Raw genomic sequence first — 22,686 nt, 5'->3', positions numbered from 1 at the left:
CACAAGTTCTTGCTGTAGCCCTGGGGTCTCTCAAAGCAGCAGGAAGGAGTACGAGTGCCTGGAGTTGGGGGAAAAGGAGGCAATGTTCCATACAAAGCCTTGAGCCACAGATCCCCCAACTGGCCCTTGAGGAGCAGATCATACCCACTGGCCAGTCTAGCAGGAGGCCCTGCCCATCCACTCCCTGCCAGCTACTCAGCGGTCTGACCACATCTGAGTCCTGGCTTTCACCCCGGACTTAAGAATATGGGTGGCACCTAATTCTCCAGCCCGCTGTCGAATATCTCAAGGAAATTTCTTGACAAATGAATGAGTTTGAGGCTTTGGGGCAGAAAGATACAGCAGGCAGTCAAATGTGAAGATGTGTATTAATTATATGTTAAAGTTAATATTGTGTTATAAATCTAACGTAGCATAATGATCAAAGGCACGGACTTAAAGCCAGGTAGCCTGAGCAAGAATCCTATCTCCACTCCGATTATCTGTGCTCTCAGAGGAATTTTTTAATTGATCTGTGCTTGAGTTTCTTCACCTATAAAATGTCAATAAGATAATGGTATGATCTGAATGTTTCCATCCTCCCCAAATTCCTATATTGAAACCTAATCCCCAGTGTGATGGTGTTAGGAGGTGTGGTTTTTGGGAAGTGATAAGTCACGAGGACAGAGTCTTCATGAATGGGATCAGTGTCCTTATGAAAGAGACTCCAGAGAGGCCCCTGCCTTATCTATCTTGTGAGGATATGGCTAGGAGGCACTATCTCTGAACCAGGAAGTGGGCCCTCATGAGACACTGAATCTGCTGCCACCTTGATCTTGGACTTCCCACCTCCAGAACTGTGAGCAATAAAGTTCTGATTTTTTTTTTTTTTGAGACGAAGTCTTACTCTTATTGCCCAGGCTGGAGTGCAATGGCACGATCTCAGCTCCCTGCAACCTCCATCTCCCGGGTTCAAGCAATTCTCCTGCCTCAGCCCCACAAGTAGCTGGGATTACAGGCACCCACCACCACGCCCAGCTAATTTTTGTATTTTTAGCAGAGATGGGGTTTCGTCATGTTGGCCAGGTTTGTCTTGAACTCCTGACCTCATGATCTGCCCACCTCAGCCTCCCAGAGTGCTGGGATTACAGGCGTGAGCCACCGAGCCCAGCCAAATTTCTGATTTTTTAAGCTACCTAAGCTAAGACAGATAGCAACTCTCAGTGGTGGAGGATGCAAGCAGCTATCCCCTCTCTGTAACAGCAGAGTTCTGGCCTGGCAGGCGCTGGCTGGTTATGCCAGGTTTCCCAGCACCCCCTGAAGCATGGCCATGTGGCTATGTCCTCTCCCATGGAACATGAATGCAAGTGACTTGTGCCATGACCAGGCTGGGCCTCAAAAGAGCTGGCATGCTACCTCAACACCCTTGTTCTCTGTTTCTGATGGCTTGAGCAGCAGTGACCAGAGTGGCTTTGCTAGCCACCTATACACAATGGTCATCAGCCTAACCCTGTCGCCTTCCAACTTGGGACAATGAGATCACCACATAAAAGAAAAGTAATCTTCAATCTGCTTAGAGCCACTGCACTGTTGAGTCACTTTCTTAAAGTAGTTATTGTTATCCTCACTAAAACCCGACCTCACAGGAGGTGTTGAGAGCATTCGATGAGTGAGTGAGTGAACACAAAGGACATCGAGTCCACACTGTATATGTGGTCGCTAATAGCACTGATGCAGAAAATAATAAAACATCATCATGTAATTAGGAAGCAAATGCTTGTGTAAAAAATTACATGAAATATTTCAAAGCTATGTAGCAATAAGGTTTGCATGCTGTGGAGTTTTCTATAATCCAGCCCATCGTGCAGGGCCATCGTCCAGGTAATCTGGAATTGACTGGCCATACAAAATGGAAAGCACCCTGTGTTAGCCCGTTCTTACATTGCTATGAAGAAACACCTGAGGCTGGGTTATTGATAAAGAAAAGAGATTTAATTGGCTCATGGCTCTGTAGGCTATACAGGAAGCATGGTGCTAACATCTGCTTAGCTTCTGGGAGGCCTCAGGAAGCTTCCAATCACAGCGGAAGGTGAAGGGGGAGTAGGTGTGTCACATGGCTGGAGCATGAGCAAGAGGGGTGGGAGAGGTGCTACACACTTTTAAATGACCAGATCTTGCAAGAACTCCCTCACTATCGCAAAGACAGCATCAATGGGATGGTGCAAAACCATTCATGAGAATTCCACCCCCATGATCCAATCACTTCCCACCAGGTCCCACTTCCAACACTGTGGCTTACACTTCAATATGAGATTTGAGTAGGGAAACAGAGCCAAACCATATCACATACGAAATCATAGATGGTATTGCTGGTTATAAGAATTCTTTATCATGAATAAAACAGTGTATATTGTTCGGAGAGTTCTCAAGAAGATGTGATTAGAATCTTGCGTCAAAAGGACAAGAATGGCTGGACACGGTGGCTCACGTCTGTAATCCCAGCACTTTAAGAGGCCAAGGCCAGGAGTTTGAGACCAGCTGGGCAACATGGTGAAACCCCATCTCTACCAAAAATACAAAAATTAGCTGGGCATGGTGGCAGGTGCCTGTAATGCCAGCTACTCAGGAGGCTGAGGCAGGAGAATCGCTTGAACCTGGGAGGCAGAGGTTGCAGTGAGCCTAGATCACACCAATTGCACTCCAGCCTGGGCAACAGTGAGACCCTGTCTCAAAAAAAAAAAAAGAAGAAGAAGAAGAAGAACAGGAATGGAAATGACCATGACTATGACCACGCTGGTTGGCTTTTCCATATCCAGAAATACCTGTGTAGAAGATAGACACACCAACCCTTTCTAATTTGATGGTGGTGTTTCTTTGTGTCTTCTTTTCTGAGTTTTTCTGCTATTCCATTGACACTTTGATTAGTGCATTTCCAGAACATCTGGGAGTCTGTGGTCACTGTAGAGCACACAGCCTCCACAGCTGTCACCCTATGATGCGCCCCTCCCCTGTGCCTGGTTACTGGAAAGAGGAGGAATGCCATAGGCAAAGGGCAGCTGGGAGAAGCCTGCCCCGGAGCAACAGCACATGGACTGCAGAACGATGGAGCTGCCAGAAGCTTTTTGTTTTCATAAGTGCAAGGCATCTCTCCAGCTTAGTTGCATGACAGCCTATGCAGGGATAGTTGCCTCTGCTGTCAGTCAACATTCACAGACATGTGGCGCCCACACAGGGCCACTGTGGTCAGCTGCATTGATCCTTGCTTTGGACAAGAATAAGAATTGCCTGAACTATTTCTAGCTCCCCTGGCTGGGAACACTGACAAGGAACTCCTACTCTCCAGCCATGGAACTGAGCTAGAGACAGACAGCTCGGGGACCGAACCTGAGGAGGCAGGAGGACGGCCGTGCTCATTCTTCCTAATTGCATGTTGATTCTCAACATCAGGAAAGTGCTCTGACTCAGGGCAGCAAAGTAACCCTCTCTGAGTATGAAGTGAGACAAAGTCCCCCACAGGCAGGTAGCTATGGCGGAGACAGGGTGGCCTTTGGGACTGTGAGTCCTGAGTATGAGCCTTTCTGGGCAGTTTGTTTCCTGTGTGTGAGAGACAGAGAGAGAGAGATTATATGTGTGTGTGTGTGTGTGTGTGTGTGTGTGTGTGTGTGTGTGTGTGTGACATGAACACTAAGTTCTATCAAAGGAAATCATAAAATGTGAAAATTAATTTTTCCCTCCAGGAGAGAAGCTTTGGGGTTTATGACTCGTAGGAATGGTGTAATATGCAAGAAGGAGTCCATGCTAGCACTGGCCTTGGAGCTCAGGAAGGAGCTGTGAGAATCGCAGCATGCCCCACAGGTGTCTGAGAGGTGTCGGAGAGTCAGTGTGGTGTCAGGGCCATGGGCAAGGCCCCGATGCAGAGGTGTAGAAGTGGGTCTGGGTCCTGGGACCTGGGGCAGGAGGTACGGATGGGGGAGTTGGCAGCAATATGAGAACTTGGTGGGAGAAAGGGAGGAGCCCAGTTGCTTGACTGAGCCACAGGGAAGGGCAGGATGCATGGGACACTGAGTCCCCAGCCTCTAAGCTAGGAGTTCCTCAAGTGTTCCCTGACTCAGGCCAGAGAGAGCCACAGGCTGCACTGCAGGTGCAGGTCAGCAGGAGGCACGGGGACAGGGCTAAAGGGAAGGTGACCTGGCAGGTTCCACATGAGATCTACAGTGTCAATCTGGACACTTTGTGGGGATAAAACCCAGCCAAGCATCAGGTCATCATCGCTCATGCATGGGTTTTCTGATGGGGCCCCCCAGTGCCCAGCTTCCCATATGCTTCTGACAGCACATTGCATGAAGCCATTGAAAGCCGTGCCCTGGTTTGTGGTTCCAACAAGAACTGGTTTCCCCAAAAGTAGGTCAAGAGCTCCTCAGAAACTTGTGGACTCTGACTTTGATTTTTCCATCTTCAAGTTGAAAATATAAGTTCTTTGCAAGAAAAAAAAACATTGATTTTTTTTCTTCTTTTTGTGAAATTTGAAACATAGTTGGCATGATGGGAAATAAAAACTGACAAAGTCAGGGAAACCCCAATTGTGGCCTAGCAAGCTCCCAGCCATCGTTTGGGCAGACCCCATGGCCATGGCTGGTTCTTCAGCTGCAATGGGGCAGAGGCCTCCCTGGATACAGAGAAGACCGTGAGACCTGATGAGCACGTGGGTGGCTCTGTGGGCTGCCACCCTGCTCCCAATCCCACTTATCATGGCCACAGTGAACTCTGTCATTGAAACGGACTTTCCATGCCAGTCACAAGAACAGTCTATTATCTCAGTGAACGTCAGATACCTCCTGGAAAATTGCGCAGGTTTCTTTATGTCTCTTTGCTAGAAGGAGGAAATGAGGAAACTCCAGCAAGAAAGAAGGCATCATTTTTTCAACAATCACACATAACGTGAGTATGAGCCACCCAGAAAGCTGAGATCTTTAAGAACCAGGAACACATCTTACATCTTTTGCATCCTGGGCAGTGTTTAGCCCAGGACCTTGTCCAGCGTTAGTTCTCAATGAATGGCTGTTGAATGAATGAGTGAGTGAACAAGGCTTGAGTCTTCCTACTCTGGCATCACAGTGTCCACCTGGGAGGCTCTGCAGGCTGAGGTTAGGAGTACGGCACAGGGAGCAACCCCAACCTGGCTCTCACCACCCTCCATGGGCACCTGCTCGTGTTGCCTGACCAGCATCGGCTCTTCCTTCTTTTCACAATGGTACCTGGATTTTCACTGATGCGCTCTCTTTCCCTTCCTCAACTCATCTGATTCAGGTGGAGCTGATGACCCAGCCTCCAGTGGACATGTGGCCTAACCTTGAAAATTATAGAATCAAGTGAGTGACTTATCATGCTTTGGATTCTGGAGGCAACAATCCCATCAAAAAGCGGGCTAAGGACATGAATAGACAATTCTCAAAAGACGATATACAAATGGCCAAAAAACATATGAAAAAATGCTCAACATCACTAATGACCAGGGAAATGCAAATCAAACCCACAATGCGATACCACCTCCTCCTGCAAGAATGGCCATAATCAAAAAATCAAAAAACAGCAGATGTTGACATGGATGCAGTGGTCAGGGAACACTTCTATACTGCTGGTGGGAATGTAAACTAGTACAGCCACTATGGAAAACAGTGTGGAGATTCCTTAAAGAACTAAAAGTAGAGCTACCATTTGATCCAGCAATCCCACTACTGGGTATCTACCCAGAGGAAAAGAAGTCATTCTATGAAAAAGATACTTGCACATGCATGTTTATAGCAGCACAATTTACAATTGCAAAAATATGGAACAAATCAAATGTCCATCGATCAACGAGTGGATAAAGAAACTGTGGTATATATATATATATGATGGAATACTACACATCCATAAAAAGGAATGAATTAATGACATTTGCGGTGACCTGGATGAGATTGGAAACTATTATTCTAAGTGAAGTAACTCAGGAATAGAAAACCAAACATTGTATCTTCTCATTGATATATGGGAGCTAAGCTATGAGGACACAAAGGCATAAGAATGATGGAATGGACTTTAGAGACTTGTGGGGAAGAGTGTGGGGGAGCGAGAGATAAAAGACTACAAGTAGGGTGCAATGTATACTGCTCCGGTGATGGGTGCACCAAAATCTCACAAATCACCACTAAAGAACTTACTCATCTAGCCAAATACCATCTGTATCCCAACAACTTATGGAAAAATTAAAATAAAAAAAAAAGAAGGTCAGGCACAGTGGCTCATGCCTGTAATCCCAGCACTTTGGGAGGCCAAGGCAGGTGGATCACCTCAGGTCAGGAGTTCAAGACCAGCCTGGGCAACATGGTGAAACCCCCGCCTCCACTAAAAATACAAAAACTTAGATGGGTGTGGTGGAAGGAGCCTGTAATCCCAGCTACTCAGGAGGCTGAGGCATGAGAATCACTTGAACCTGCAAGACGGAGGTTTCAGTGAGCCAAGATCATGCCATTGCACTCCAGCCTAGGAAACAAGAGCAAAAAAAAAGAGAAAGAAAAGTAAGCTAAGAGATGCCAAATAAATAAACATATAGCAGCTATAATCTCAACACCCTAAATAAACAGTTAACATTTTAGCAGATTCAGAAAGAAAAGAAAGGAAGGAAGGAAGGAAAGAAGGAAGGAAGGAAGGAAGGAAGGGGAAGGAAGGAAGGGAAAAAGAAAATGATTTTATCCAAGTAAGCCCAGTGGCAATATTCATAATAAACTGCCTTCAATGGCCTGGTCTCTCCTTGAAAATGCTGGCAGATGACTGTGGTCAGGTTAACTTGTCCTTGGGCATCAGAGAACATGGATACAGATGACTAATTGGAAAAAATTAGATTCTGTCTTAGGCCAATAAAACTTCAACAGGCGGCCGGGCACTATGGCTCATGCCTGTAATCCCAGCACTTTGGGAGGCCAAGGCTGGCGGACCACGAGGTCAGGAGATCGAGACCATCCTGGCTAACACGGTGAAAACTCATCTCTACTAAAATTACAAAAAAAAAAAAAAATAGCCGGGCGGGGTGGCGGGCACCTGTAGTCCCAGCTACTCAGGAGGCTGAGGCAGGAGAATGGCATGAACCCGGGAGGCGGAGGTTGCAGTGAGCCGAGACCACGCCACTGTACTCCAGCCTGGGTGACAGAGTGAGACTCCATCTCAAAAAAAAAAAAAAAACTTCAACAGGAACAAGCACCCCTTTGATCTGATGGCTGGACCCAGCTCAGCTACAGTGAGATGCATTTCAAAGTTTGCAAAGAATCAGAGTGAAATTTATAATGCAACTTGAGATCTCATCTTTCAAACACCTATATTAATGCAAACAAAAGGAAAAAAGCCTCATCCACAGCTTGTCAATGTGCCAACTTTGGAATGAGGTTCTCAGAAAGTCTGTGAATTTTTTGCCTTGAGTCTCTTCATTTCTGACCAGGTCCTGAGCTTTTGGCTGGGGCAGTGTCAACAGTCAAGCTCAATTCCCTCCCAACTGGACTTGGTCTCCGTTGGCTCTGTGGTCTGAAAGACCCTCATAAATGACCATGCAGGGATGTGGTCATCCACATTTGTCTAGAAGAACTTGCCAAGGTTGACCACCCTCAGAGGCAGGACCAGGCACCAAGCCAGGCCCATCAGATTCTCAGCTCGGTCTATGAGAAGCTGCTTTTGTTCCAGGGCAATGTGAGGATCTGAGCAGCTTCTCCGCTAGGCTGCATGGAAGGGCAACAGGATCATCTTCTGAAACAAGCCCTGGTTTCAACAAGAACTTGTGTGATGCGTCGAAGCCACTTAAGGACCATATGAGTTTTCATGTGACTATTACAGAAGGGCAACCTGATGCGGGGATGGGATGCTCTGCACCCCGGGCTTGGGCATGGTGAGTAGGACCTTGTGACAGTCACCTTAGTGTGCGGTTTCCACAGAGAAGATTCCACCCTAAGGGGGCCTCAGATAGCAGAAAACAATAGAAACTATTCTCACTCCTAGGAAATGTTTCAAAAATGTACATGGATGCAGAATTGGGTTCCATCATTCTTGGTGGAGAGCCAATCTTTTGGATTTGCCAAACTCACGGGTAAAACGCTGCCAGTTTGGGTCTCACAGATATTCATGGAAACCAAAAGATGATACAGTTTGGGATTTTCCCCAGTAATTTCTTTCTTCTTTTATCTCTCAGGAAGTTCTCCCTTGTGTGTATATGTGTGTGTGTGTGTGTGTGTGTGTGTGTGTGACAGAGAGAGAGAAAGAGAGAGAGAGATCAAGTCTTACTCTGTTGCCCAGGCTGGAGTGCAGTGGCGTGATCTTGGCTCACTGTAACCTCCACCTCCTGGGTTCAAGCAGTTCTCTTGCCTCAGCCTCCCGAGTAGCTGGGACTACAGGCATGTGTCACCACACCCAACTAATTTTTTTTTTTTTGTATTCTTAGTAGAGATGGGGTTTCACCATGTTGGCCAGGCTGATCTCGAACTCCTGACTTCAAATGACCCACCCGCCTCGGCCTCCCAAAGTGCTGGAATTACAGGCGTGAGACACTGCACTGGGCCTGGGAAGTTCTCTTTATACCAATGTTAGTCTGCATCTGAAATGGGGTGGGGGTTGGGGGCGGTGAGGGTGCCAGAGTGTCACAGCTTAACCATTGACAAAGCAAGGAGCTCACCAGGATTCTGACTTCCAGGCTGTCCAGCTCCACCAGGGACATGGCCCCATGCCCTGCACGCATCATTTGTGCTCAGAAGAGATGTGATGGGTAGGTGATGGCAGGCTCCTCCCCTGCCCAGGGAGAAAAGCCAGAACACTGCATGATTATGGCTGTAACTCTGGAGTACACAAAGTTGACACCTGCTTTTATTTCATTCCAAATGTCCGTTTCAAAAAGCAGTGTCTTCTCTAAGAACTAACCCTTCGATATAATCTTGTCCCCCAACCCCGCACCCTGCTTTATTCCAGAGGGTATTTAAAGCAGCTGTCACCCTTAGCTCCTTTCCATAATTGTGACTGGATCTCCATGACTGGTGCTGATAAGTGAGTCATGGCTTGTCACACGCTGCTTTTGAGAGCATCAGCAGAAGACGCAGGGCAGTGTTTGCTGCCCCGGCATGGGTGACTGCCTGAAGGACAGAGAGAGAGAGATGGAGTGATCACTCTCCAGGCAGAGGATAGAAACATGAACATACCATGCACAGGTTCCTGGGGAGGTGTGGGGGAGGTCTCAGGATACCTGCGTGTCTCTGTGCTTTCAGGTTGCCATTACGTACCCACACACATCCTGCAAAGCCTGCCTTTGCTTCCTCTGACTCTGTGCTCTGAGCCATAGGAGGTCTTCTGCCCGCCCTTCCACTTCCAGGGAAGAGTGATCCCCTCCATGAAGGGGCAGCTCTGAAGATGCTCAGAAGATGCCACTCCCAAGACCTCTGGAGGCACAGAGCCTGGGGACTACGGTGCTATGAGGGGCTCACAGAAATGTTTTCATTTTAATTTGCTTCAATTAAGAATAAAAAATGAACATCACGATAATGAATACAAAATAATAAATTGTATTTTATTAATAAAGATGATTATATTCATCTTTATACCAACTCTGTCATAAAGTGGAATTTTTAATCATGTTTTATAGAAGAAGGGCCCATAAAGGCAAAAGTTGCCAGGGGCTCCTGAAAGCCATCTGAGGCCGTGAGGACCCGGACTCTCCGGATGATGGGAAATCCTCGGGGACTAGAAAGCCAGAGCGTGGAAGTTCTTTGTCCCCTCTTCACTCCCTCTCACGTGCCCGAAGTACACAATGTGTACCTGAGACAGTGGCAGGACAGCCTGCTCCACTGAGGGCACATTGAGGGGAAGAGGCACAGACCCCACATCAAATGGCCAGAGAAGCCTGTGGAACACCATAGGAGCCCCCGGCCTCACATGTGCCGAGGCACCCGGGACCAGGCTGGGATTGCATGGACGAACTCGCCCCTAGTCCTCATGCTCATCCCGCCCTCCTCTGGGTAACATTGTTGAGCACCTACTCTGCACACGACGAGAAGGACTCCTGCCCTCCAGGGCCTCCCTGCTGGGGTGGGACAGAGCAGCACGCAGCCCAGGACCAAGCCCTGTGAGGCACGCAACCAGTGCAGGCCATTAGTGCTAAGTGCAGGGGCAGGAACTTTCCAGAGAACAGGCCCTGGGGCCCAAGGCCAAAAGGAGCATGAGCTTGATGTAATTGGGCTTGTACTTTAGAGCCATCACTGTGTGGCCTGCTAAGAATCTATTGCAAGGGGACAAAACTGGAAGCAGGAAGGCAATTAGAAAACCAGCAGTAGGCCAGGCTCAGTGGCTCACGCCTGTAATCCCAGCACTTTGGGAGACAGGGGTGGGCAGATCACCTGAGGTTAGGAGTTTGAGAACAGCCTGGCCAACATGGCAAAACCTCGTCTCTACTAAAAATACAAAAATTAGCTGGATGTGATGGTTCGTGCCTGTAGTCCCATCTACTCGGGAGGCTGAGGCAGGAGAATCGCTTGAACCTGGGAGGCAGAGGTTGCAGTGAGCTGAGATTGCACCTCCACACTCCAGCCTGGGCAACAGAGTGAGACTCCATCAAAAGGAAGGAAGGAAGGAAGGAAGGAAGGAAGGAAGGAAGGAAGGAAGGAAGGATGGGAGGGAGGGAGGGGAGAGAGAGATGAAAGAAAGAAAGAAAGAAGGAAAGAAAGAAAGAAACAAAGAAAGAAAGAAAGAAACAAAGAAAGAAACAAAGGGAAAGAGAGAGATGAAGGGGAAGGAAGGAAGGAAGGAGGAAAGGAGGGAGGGAGGAACGGGAAGAAAGGAAGGAAGGGAGAAGGAGGGAAAGAGGAAAGGAGGGAGGGAGGAAGGGGAAGAAAGGAAGCAAGGAAGGAAGAGAGAAAGGAAGGAAGAAGGAAGAAGGAAGAAAGGGGAAGAAAGGAAGGAAGAAGGAAGAAAGGGGAAGGAAGGAAGGAAAGAAAGAAAAAGAAAGAAAAGAAAGAGAGAAAGAAAGGAAGAAAGAAAGAGAGAAAGAAAGAAAGAACCAGCATTAAACTGGGAAGAACTGAGGATGGAGTGGGTTTGGAGGTGTGGGGCTGGCGAGGAGCCAAGGACCCCAGGACAGGACTCAGACTCCTGGGCCATCAGGAGGATGTGGCCCCTCCTGGGAAGGCACAGAGAGGCAGAAGGGTGGGAAGGGGTGGGGAGTGATTGAGGGATAGGTTCCACCTGAGGAGTTTCTCACAAGCAAAGGCTCTGGTTTGGGTGCGCTTACCTGGTCCCCTTGTTGCTGGAAGTGCTCAGAATGGATCTTCTGGGCTCTGATCATGTGCAACTTTTTTTTTTTTTTTTTGAGACGAAGTTTCACTCTTGTTGCCCAGGCTGGAGTGCATTGGTGAGATCTCGGCTCACTGCAAACTCCACCTCCCGGGTTCAAGCAATTATCCTGCCTTAACCTCTTAAATAGCTGGGATTACAGGCACCTGCCACCATGCCCAGCTAATTTTTGTATTTTTAGTAGAGATGGGGTTTCATCATGTTGGTCAGGCTGGTCTCGAACTCCTGACCTCAGGTGATCCTCCCAAAGTGCTGGGATTAGAGGCATGAGCCACCATGCCCGGCCACGTATGGCTTTTTACTATGTGTTGAGAGGGAGTTTGCACAAAATGGCTTCCCAAGCCCCTCTATAGAAAGTTTGATTCTAAGACCACCAGGAGAAGCAGTAGGCTTCCTGCAGGAAGGCTGTCCCAGGATTTCCCCCAGGGCTGGCGGGCCCAGCACCACAGGCCTCAGCCCCCACACCCACTGCCTGCCTTGCAGCCATCTGGCCCCAGGCTAGAAAGTGCTGGGCTTCCAGTACAGTACCTACAGAGGCCATGGGGCATGAGGAGGGCGGGAAAAGGGGCAGGGTAGGGAGCAGTGGGCACCAAGCTATGGTAGAAAGGGGAGTGGCTGGGAAGGTGGTGAGGAGACTTGGTTTCCAGCACTGGTAACCCGGTGCAACCTTGGGCAAGCCACTGCACCTTTCTGAGCCTCTGTCCTCAACCTGTGCAGGCGGGAAGATTGTCCTGGTCCCCTGGGCCTGCAGGAGGCGGATATTCAGAGTCCAGGGGAGCCCGGGCCACAGCATTCACAGGCTCTTACATCTACATCTGTGTCCTCCCCCACAGAGCTTCCTGGCTGTGGGGTGAAGGCCTCCTCCCCAACCAGCCTCACCCCTTTCCCAACCATCTGGTGCACAGGACCCTACAGCCTCAATGGGTCTTGGCTTCAGCCAGACCCTCTCCCATTGCCAGGTGGGGAACCCCGGCTTCCAGCCCCAGCCTCCCTCCCAGCACAGCCCTCATGAGGGCACAGGCCCAGAGGGGTGGCTCGGTGCCATCTAAATACCTGAAGAATGGGCAGATCCCACGCCTCGGCCACCTTCCCTGCCTCATCAAGTGTTTCCGTCTTCTAGGAGCTGCTGTGGAGATGAAACGGGCATCCCCCAGGCCCTGTGTCCAAAGCCCACGGGCTTTTCTTTTTTCTTTTTCTTCTTCTCTTCTTCTGCTTTTTTTTTTTTTTTTTTTTTTTTTTTTGAGACAGGATCTCACTCTGTCACTCAGGCTGGAGTGCAGTGGCACGATCTCGGCTCACTGCAACCTCCACCTCCCAGGTTTAAGCGATTCTCCTGCCTCAGCCTCCCAGGTAGTTGGGATTACAGGTGTGAGCCACCACACCCAGCTAATTTTTGTATTTTTAATAGAGACAGGGTTTCACCATATTGGCCAGACTGGTCTCGAACTCCTGATCTCAGGTGATCCATCTGCCTTGGCGTCCCAAAGTTCTGGGATTGCAGGCATGAGCCACCGGGCCTGGCCACTTTTCTTACCTTCTAAACAAGACTCCCACCTCGGCAGTGTGAACTTTCAGCCTGGGCTCCCCACCTTGGGGCAGAGGGGGCTGCCCTCCATACAGCGGGGCCTGTGCCTTCCTCCACGCATGGAGGTAACAAGACTCAGAATTAGCTGTCATGGTCAAAAAAAGTCCTCCACACACGCGACGGCCCAGAGATGTTGCCATGGTAAAGGGGGCGTCTAGAGAACAGCGGGTGCTCCAGGAATCCCCGGCATTGAGACAAATGCTAGCGCTTGTGCTGGTGGGGCACACACAATGCACCCAGCTTCATTCTGCCCTGCCAGCACAAGGGAGCCAAGGCCCTCCGGACTCCCGAATATACTTTATGATGCTCGAGGTTCCAAAGCCGCCATGAGGATTCTCAGGGCTGTTGTTTATTTGTGAACTTAGGAGACAGCAGAAGGAACAAACAAAACTTAGTGCTTGACAGCCGTCATCTGATACATGAAATTACATTGCCTAGCTCCAAGACAGCAGCAGTGAAAGGCAGGGGCCCTCCCACCTAGGAATGTATTGTCCGGTTGGGGAGACAAGGGTAAAGAGGCTTTAATGCCAAGTGGCAGGTGAAGGCTTGAGCAGTGCGGTCCTTGGTCCTCGTGGGGTCAGCATATCACCTGGTAATTCTCTCCACCTGCTCCTGCCAGACTGATCCAGCCACCCATGTGTCCCACAGGCTGACTGACAACTGCCTGTATAGTCGCCAGCTGGTAACTATATTGAGATCGCCTTCATGTAGGAAGGCATACCATCCCCATTTTCCATGAGGGGAGACCGAAGTTCAGGGAATCCGGGTAACCCCACACAGTCAGGGGGCAGGACCCAGATCCACACTCAGGCTCATCAGATTCCTAAGCCCAGGAGGCACGGGAGATAAGACTGGCATGAAGAACGTGGTCTCAGAGCAGTCAGGATTTAGTGGGCACATGGATGGTGAATATTCCAAGCAAGGAGATAAAGCAACGAAAAGGTTTAAAGAATTAAATTCCCCATGACAAACGTTTTGCCATTTGAGTCAAGTTGGGTAATCTCCGTTCTAGACTTATTTCTGCTACTGAAATTCCCTGGATCGCTTAACTTCTCTGAAATTTAATTCCCTCCCTTGCAAAATGGGGCATGCTTATGCCACAGGGACATTGCCACGAAGGCATTTTCAGGGGGTTAAGACACCGCCTGAGTACAGGATGTCACTGTTGGAGAGATTAATTTTAAGGGTGACTAATGAGTTATGAGCAATTTGTGTGGGAGCTGACCCAGGGTATCCAGAGCTGCTCAGAAAGAGGGTGCATGGAAAAGCCTCTGGGGATGCTGCTCCCCTCCCCGGTGTATTGCAAGCTTGTCATCCACCCGCTTCTTCAAAGGGGTTTCTTCTGGCTGCAGAAGGGAGGATGCACAGACCCAGGCACGGATCCCTGGTAGATCACGCCCTCGCGTGGCCGCTTCCTTGCGTGACAGCTTGGCCTGTGGGTGCCGGGTTAGTGGAGGATGAGTTCCAGAGCTGGAGGCGCGTTGCAGGCAAAGGGTGTGATGGGGGCATGGACTGAGTAGGCAATGTGCTCCCCAAGGCTGTGTCCACCTCAGCACCCGCCCTGTGGCTCCCTGTCCCCTCTTTCCACCGACCCCGGGACCTCACTGCCCCCAAACTCTTGCTGCATACAGCTCAGTGGAAGGGGAAATAATTTTATTATTTCTCTTTCTCCCTCTGTGTTCACAGAATACAACTTTTGTTTCTGTAAAACTATCCAAATAATGACAAGAATACAAAATAGAAAGTTCAGGAAAAATTTACCCAATAGGCCACCACCCAAAAATAATTTCTTAAAAAATAATATTTTGGGAGTATCATTCCAGAGGTTCTCCAAACCTATACGCAAAAGAATAGATTTAGGGAAATAATTATTAATATATAAAATGACATTTTTGTGCACAGCTTTTTAAAAAGCAAAAGCATACAATTCGGTTTCATTGAACTTATAAGGAAAGGAAGCTGGGTGCAGCGGGATGTGCCTGTAATCCCAGATACTCCACAGGCTGAGATGGGAGGAACCTGAGCCTAGGAGTTTGAGAACAGCCTGGGCAACATAGTGAGACTCTCAAAAACAAATAGTATTAAAAAAAGAAAACAAAATTTAAAAGACTGGCAAATTTCAAATGAGTTCTTTTGTTTTAAGCTGATATCTTTGTATTTCTTTTTTTTTTTCTTTGAGACAAGGTCTCACTCTGTCTCCCAGCCTGGATGGAGTGCAGTGACACAATCTCAGCTCACTGAAACCTGCGCCTCCCCAGCTCAAGCAATTCTTGTGCCTCAGCCTCCCGAGTAGCTGGGATTACAGGTGCGCGCCACCATGCCAGTTAATTTTTTGTATTTTTAGTAGAGACAGGCTTTCATGATGTTGGCCAGCCTGCCAAAGTGCTAGGATTACAGGCATGAGCCACCGCACACAGCCTGATATTATTGTATTTATTCTTATAAAACATTTCCAACATATGAAAAAGTAGAGTGAATAATGAAATGGTCTTACAACTACTTTCAACAAATCAGGACATGCCCTTGGGCTTGGGTTGAGAAGCTTTTCTTCTTTTTTTAATAAAAATGTTCACAGAAGACACTAATTAATGGAGGTATACTTGTAGGCAGGATTTCCCAACAGGCCGGATTCTGTTCTATGATGCTAGAACCTGGACACTCAACATCTATCCCCGCAGTTCAGCTGGGGCCAGCACCACCTGGGCACGGGGCTTCCAAGCACTTTCCGTTCACTGTCTCTTGTGCTTTTGGGTACCTAGAAGGTGCATATTATTATTGTTCCCACTGTGGGGCAATGAAGGCCTGGAGAGCAAAAGCCGCCTGTTCAGGTTGGGATGTAACTTCAGGTCTGTTGGGCATCAGAGCCTGGGCACTGGAGATCATTTCTGAAATGATGCAGGGGCTACATGTAAGATCCCAGGTACTCATGCTGACAAAGAACAAAAAATCTGGGTGGAAGAAGATTTCAAGAGTTAGTGACCTCAAAGCCCCATTATCTCAAGCAAAATGAGAGGAAATTCTGTCCTATCTTCCTGACTTTCTTGAGAGAAGTTTGTTTGGGAAACTTCCTCTGCCATCGGAAGTAAGATGGACAAAAACATCTTTCAGAAGATGACGGAAGCTGAGCCTGGCTGGGCCACCTGTGGGTGTCTCTAGAATTCAACCTTTTATAGGTAATCATACTGTTACCATTCACTCAAGACCCACTGGGCCATGAATCCTGGATATTAACTATGAATGAGGGTATTTTTTAATAGAAAATTCAAAAATAATCACAGGAATAATTTAGTATTTTTGCAATAACTACTGAGGTTAAGAAGCAACAGTAAATATGTGCCTCTTGAGAGCTTGGTGCTCAAAGCCAGGTGGCGGGAGCTAAGGGTCAAGCTTAGGGTGGTCTGGCTGCCAGTCCTAATGGCACAAGGGCAGTGAGATGGGCCAGTCTGACACCATGTACACTGGGACCCCCATAGCTGCCACCTCCAGCCACAGCCTACCTCCCAAAGCTTTGCCCTGATCAGCAGGGCCCCAAAGGACCTGTGTGAGAATTCTATCAGTCAGGGCACAGACCAGGCCCCCGGGTAAGTCTCACTCCCACTGGGGCTTATCTGGTCTCAGCTCCTGACTAGGACTCTGGTCCAACCCAGTGCTGTCTTCCAGTCTCTACCTGAACGGGCCAACTGCATCCCTGCCTCAAACCTGCTCTTAGCCCACCTCCGCTGTTTCCTAACGGTGGCCAGGACAAACAAGGTAATTATTGTAGTCATACTGATAGTATGAACTTAGAAATCTGAACTTTAGGCTGGGCGTGGTGGCTCACACCTGTAATCCCAGCACTTTGGGAGGCCAAGGCGGGTGGATCACTTGAGGTTAGGAGTTCGAGACCAGCTTGAGCAACATGGAGAAACCCTGTCTCTACTAAAAATACAAAATTAGCTGGGTGTGGTGGCGCATGCCTGTAATCCCAGCTACTCGGGAGGCTGAGGCAGGATAATCGCTTGAACCTGGGAGGCAGAGGTTGTGGTGAGCCGAGATCGTGCCATTGAACTCCAGCCTGGGCAACAAGAGCAAAACTTCATCTCAAAAAAATAAAAAGAAAAAGAAATCTGAACGTTAAACTGCAACAAATATCCAGACAATAAAAAAAAAAAACATAGAGTCAGCACTAGCATTAATATTGTAGCACTGTAGGGAGAAGTCAAGGAAACTTAACGCAAATGAAATAAACGTCAGAAACTCAGGAAAATAAAATAAAACAAAAACAAGTTCAAAACAAAGATAAACGAAGGAAAAATAACAGTAAACACACAGCAAAGTGTTAAGTGTCTTTAATATGCAGGAATGCCTCAATTTTAAAAAACGGATGAAGAATAGGTAATTCTTCAAAAGACACACAAACCTCTGCCAAAGCCACTGGACAAAATGTAAAAGCTCTGTCCTCAACAAGAACAAAATCTGGGCCAGCCTTCAGGCTGCCATTCTGTGCTGAACTTCCTGGGAGAAAGTATAAACTGGGTTGGTTGGTTGGTTTGTTTTACCTACCCTTACTCTTCAAAACTTACCTTAGAAGCCTCCTTGCTGTGGAAGCTGCTCCCGACTCCTCCAGGGTAAGCAGGCCCTACTCCTAGGTGCCTTCACCGGGCTTTTGCCGGTCGTCTCAGTACTCATTGTGGATTTCTCCCCACCAGGTCCAGAAGCTCAGCCAGGGCAGGATCTCCAGCACCAGAACGTGTGTGTTGTGCCGTAGACACTCAACAGATGCTTTGTAAAACATTGCATGTGTGCATGCACGAAGATGAATACAGTAAACGCATAATTTGTAACCATGAGCCAAAATGTTTCTTGACTCACCATGACACCTAGTGGTGACTAATCTCCATTGCAGACCCGACAAAATCAGCCATCACTGCTGTGGGTGCTTGTGTTTTCCTTTGTTCCAGCAAAGGCCTTCTGAGCACCAACTATGTGCCATGTGCAGGGACCATGTGCATGCAGAGGACCCTTGGGTGAGTTGGTCAGTCCCTGTCCTCCACTGTCCTCCAAGGGTTTATGGGCAAGATACACCCACTGCCGCTCACCACCACATAGCGTCAGCATTCAAGCTAATGTTACACCATCGTAGGGAGAAGTAAAGGAAACTTAGGCCAACCGCGAAATCATTTGGAGAAACGAGAAAGGCAGCCTCTGAGGGAGGTGGAAACTCTTCCTATTACATGGAACTACCTCCTAACAACAGCCTGTTTGTCATCCCCTTTAACGCTAACTCAGGTTCCAAGAATCGGAATATTGTCTCAATTTCACTCCTGGCTTCAGCAAACATTGACAAAAGTCAACACCTAAAGCCACGATAGCTTCCGTGATTCCTCCACCTCTGCAGAGAAAGGAGGCTGGGGAGGGAGACACATCTAGTCCTGTCTTCAGCTTCTATTTCCTCCAGTCTCTTCTTCCCCCACCTCTCCAACCAAGTGGTAAAAGGTAAATCCTGATTGGACAGCCACTTCAGAAGCAAAATAGATTCCTGGATTTCTTATACAAAAATTATAACAGAACAAATGAAAACAGTATAAAGCCAGAATAAAACACAGGTGACTTTTTATTCTTCTGGGCTTAGGTAAATTCTAGTTACTACCAGAAGCTATAATGGAAAACATGGAAATATTTAACTTTGTAACCCTTCTATATGGCAAAAAACAAAAACAAAACAAAAACTAGTTCAAAACCAAGAAAAACTGAGGGAAAACAACAGTAAGCACACAACAAAGTGCTACTATTTTTAAGATGCAATGAACAGTTACAAGTCAATAAAAAATAAAGACCTCAATAAAAAGAACAGGTAATTCTTCAAGAGACATACACATAGCAAGCTATATGGCAATTAAAATAAAATTGTTTGCTGAATTAATGAGGATTTAAAAACATGTAATACCTAACTAATGCTGACAAAAGTATTTGTGGGAGTGTAAACTGGCACATTTCCAAAGAAAAATTTGGTAATAGATATCAAAATAGCAAATGCAGGCTGAGCATGGTGGCTCACGCCTGTAATCCCAACACTTTGGGAGGCTGAGAAGGGAGGATCACCTGAGGTCAGGAGTTCAAGACCAGCCTGGCCAACATGGTAAAACCCGTCCCTACCAAAAATACAAAAATTTGGCCGGGTGCAGTGGCTCACGCCTGTAATCCCAGCACTTTGGGAGGCCAAGGCGGGTGGATCATGAGGTCAGGAGATCAAGACCATCCTGGTTAGCACGGTGAAACCCTATCTCTACTAAAAATACAAAAAATTAGCTGGGCGTGGTGGCAGGTGCCTGTGGTCCCAGCTGCTCAGGAGCCTGAGGCAGGAGAATGGCGTGAACCCGGGAGGCGGAGCTTGCAGTGAGCCGAGATTGCACCACTGCACTCCAGCCTGGGCGACAGAGTGAGACTCCGTCTCAAAAAAAAAAAAAAAATGAAAATACAAAAATTAGCCGGGCGTGGTGGTGGGCACCTGTAATCTCAGCTACTCAGGAGGCTAAGCCAGGAGAATCACATGAACCTGGGGGGGTGGGGGGGTTTGCATGAGCCGAGATTGTGCCACTGCGCTCCACCTGGGCAACAGAGTGAGACTCTGTCTCATAAAAAAAAAAAAGTAGATGCAAATATCTTTTACCCAGCAAGTCCATTTCTAGAAATATATATTCTAGAAATATATTCTAAGAAAATAATTTGCCAAGTGCATTTGGATACATGTTCATCAAAGCATGGTGTGTGTGTGTATATACATATGTATACATATATACACACACATATACATACACATGTATTTATATAGAGAGATATTAGAAATAATTTGTCATTCATTAGAGAAAAAGAATAATTTTTAGATGTGAGCCAAAATTATACTTGATTAATCATGTTATGATTAATAAATTCTGATAGGTTGATCCTACAGAATACCAGATAGTCATTAGACATAGTAATGTAACTCTACATTTATTATCATAAAAAGTAGGTTCAGAATATATTGCTGAGCTTTGACAACAGCAACAAAAAAGCACTATCTATAAATCCACATAAAGATTGTAGTTTGAAAGGATATTCACCAAAATGTTAGTAGTGCTTTATCTGTGGGTGGCTGGATTTAGACTAACGTTTACTTTCTTTGTACATTTAAAAAAAAATTATATGGCAAGAATGTGTTGTTTTAAAATTAGAAAAACACGAACTGTTTTCATTAAAAGAAAAAAATTAGCCCTGCCTTTCAGATATGTCCAACTCAGCTACTACATTTGACTATTGAGGCAAAAAATACAGAAACTGTATAATGTTCCTCATGAGAAATACAGGAAAGCTACATTCTGAGAATCAAGGTGAGCTACGTGGTTCTTATTTTCCTTTGGAAAGACACAGTTCTTTCAAGTACCCCTAATAAGGTGGATGGCTCCCAAGAACGATATGTAACAATATACAGTATAAACACTCAAAACCTGAAATGGGCCGTCCACGGAGGCTTTGGGTTTTTCATGTCACAGGCTCTGACCAAGCTTCCCTGCCTGGGATAGACTCTTCCTGAGGCTCACATCTACAGTAAATGTAATTACACTTTAATGGTATTCATCGCATTCTGTCACTTTTTCCATTGCTCCTATTTTTAACCAGCACAATGGGAACATTTGTCCTCTGATTCACTGAGCGGTTTTAGGCCAGGAATCTGGCTTTTAAAATGACAGTACCCTTAATCCTATCGCTGACTTTTCAAATGAAATAACAGCCTGTAATTAAAACAATGGCACACAGGCAGCCTCCGTGGGATAAGAATAGCAACTCAGCATGGAATTCAGGTAATGGCATTTATCAGCGGCTGTGTCAGGAGGAAGGGATGGAGAAGCAGGCTCTGGTCCTGGCGGTGTGGCCTTTGCAAGTCACTTCAAAGTCCTGAGCTGCAGTCCCTATGAAAGAGGCATGGGTTCTTAGAGTCCTTTCAGTTAGGTGTACCCAGCAGAGTGAACAAAACCAACCTGAGACTTCTGCTCCTCTGGAAGAACCCTGGGGTCCTGCTCATTCAAGCAATGCACATGGGATGTCCAAAGCTATTGGGGCAGTTGGGACCCCCCGTCCGAGCAAATGTCATGGAGAAGTGGGCTCTATGTCCTCTCCCCCCGAGTCTCAGCCAACTTGCGCCAGCTTCAACTTCTAGAATGTAGTGAGTGTGATGCTCTGTGATGCCCCAGGCTAGGTCACAAAAGGCCACATACCTTCTTGAGCTCTTCATTTGCTTGCTCTTGTGACACTTCCTCTTGGAACCTGGCTCCTGTGACATGCAGAGCCAGAGCCATGCGCAAGGGGTGCACCGGTGCTCCAGCCAACAGTCCCAGCTGAGCTCAATCTTCCAGCCACCTCAGCCTGGCCCCAGACATAGGCGGGATGACCCACCTGAGTATCTCCCAGTATTTTGTTCCTATGTTGGGTTTTGTTTTTTGGGGGTTTTTTGCTTTTTTTTTTTTTTTTTTTTTTTTGAGACAGGATCTCCCTCTGTCATCCAGGCTGGAGTGCTGTGGCGTGATCTCGGCTCACTGCAACCTCTACCTCCCAGATTCAAGCGATTCTCCTGCTTTAGCCTCCTGAGAAGCTGGGATTACAGGCATGCACCACTATGTCCTGCAGATTTTTTTTTGTATTCTTAGTAGAGATGGGGATTCACCATATTGGCCACACTGGTCTCCAACTCCTGGCCTCAGGTAATCCACCCACCTCAGCCTCCCAAAGTGTTGGGATTACAGGCGTGAACCAACCTGCCCAGCCCTCCCCCAGTGTTTTGAGCCTATCTTGTCGAGGCCCCAGACATTGTGGAGCAAAGGCAAGCCCTGGCCACATGGGTCTTGATCCATGGAATTTGGGAGCATGTCCCAAAAGGTGGTTGTTCATGCCACTAGGTTTGTGATGGGTTGCTGGGTAGCAAAAGCAACTGGAACTCCAAGTCTGATGTAAGAGTTTACGTAGACCGGGCGCAGTGGCTCACGCCTGTAATCCCAGCACTTAGGGAGGCCGAGATGGGTGGATCACGAGGTCAGGAGACGGAGACCATCCTGGCTAACATGGTGAAACCCCATCTCTATTAAAAGTACAAAAAATTAGCTGGGCATGGTGGCGGGTGCCTGTAGTCCCAGCTACTCGGGAGGCTGAGGCAGGAGAATGGTGTGAACCTGGGAGGCGGAGCTTGCAGCGCGCCAAGGTCGTACTCCAGCCTGGGCGACAGTGCAAGACCGTCTCAAAAAAAAAAAAAAAAAAGAGCTTACGTAATAAACACTTATTTAGCTTGCAGTGTACAAGACCCTGTCCTAAGCAAAATGCAAATATTAGTTTGTGTTATAATTAAAATTCATCTCTATAACAGGTCTGTGAGGTCCATAGTATTACTGCCTATATTTTACAGGTGAAGACACTGAAACTCAGAAGAGTTATGTAACTTGCCCAAAGTCACACAGCTACCAAGTTGGAAAGGCAGCATTCCAACTGAGGCCACAGAAGGCATGCTTTTTTTTTTTTTTTTTTTCCACAGGGTATTGCTCTGTCCTCCAGGCTGGAGGGCGGTGGCGCAATCTTGGCACTGCAACCTCTGCCTCCTGGGTTCAAGCAATTCTCCGCCTCAGCCTCCTGAGTAGCTGGGACTACAGGTGCCCGCTACCACAGTGGGCTAAATTTTTTTTTTTTTGGGTATTTTTTAGTAGAGGGAGGGTCTCACCATGTTGGCCAGGCTGGTCTCAAACTCCTGACCCCAGGGGATCTGCCCG

The 22,686-nt window shown here is 47.5% G+C and overlaps 1 long non-coding RNA gene across 1 annotated transcript, besides 1 other annotated feature; it reads right to left on the bottom strand.

Moving 5' to 3' along the window:
- Positions 1–15,445: 15,445 nt before the first annotated feature.
- On the bottom strand, positions 15,446–21,065 carry LINC01849 (long intergenic non-protein coding RNA 1849). Its single transcript, NR_146956.1, has 3 exons — positions 20,914–21,065; positions 17,479–17,677; positions 15,446–15,864 (listed from the first exon to the last, which is right to left on the bottom strand). It is a non-coding gene; the product is annotated as a long intergenic non-protein coding RNA 1849 (long non-coding RNA).
- Positions 20,420–21,063: an enhancer, noted in NCBI's record as "NANOG-H3K4me1 hESC enhancer chr2:101220203-101220846 (GRCh37/hg19 assembly coordinates)". NCBI's record gives its function as "activates a minimal SCP1, AML or CMV promoter by ChIP-STARR-seq in naive H9 embryonic stem cells {active_cell/tissue: H9 hESC(naive)}" and the evidence as "EXISTENCE:reporter gene assay evidence [ECO:0000049][PMID:30033119]".

Source organism: Homo sapiens, chromosome 2 (genome assembly GCF_000001405.40).
Source record: "Homo sapiens chromosome 2, GRCh38.p14 Primary Assembly".
In the NCBI taxonomy this organism is placed as follows: Eukaryota; Metazoa; Chordata; class Mammalia; order Primates; family Hominidae; genus Homo; species Homo sapiens.
The sequence above is the reverse complement of the archived record's forward strand: the minus strand, read 5'-3'. Positions and strand labels throughout refer to the sequence as shown.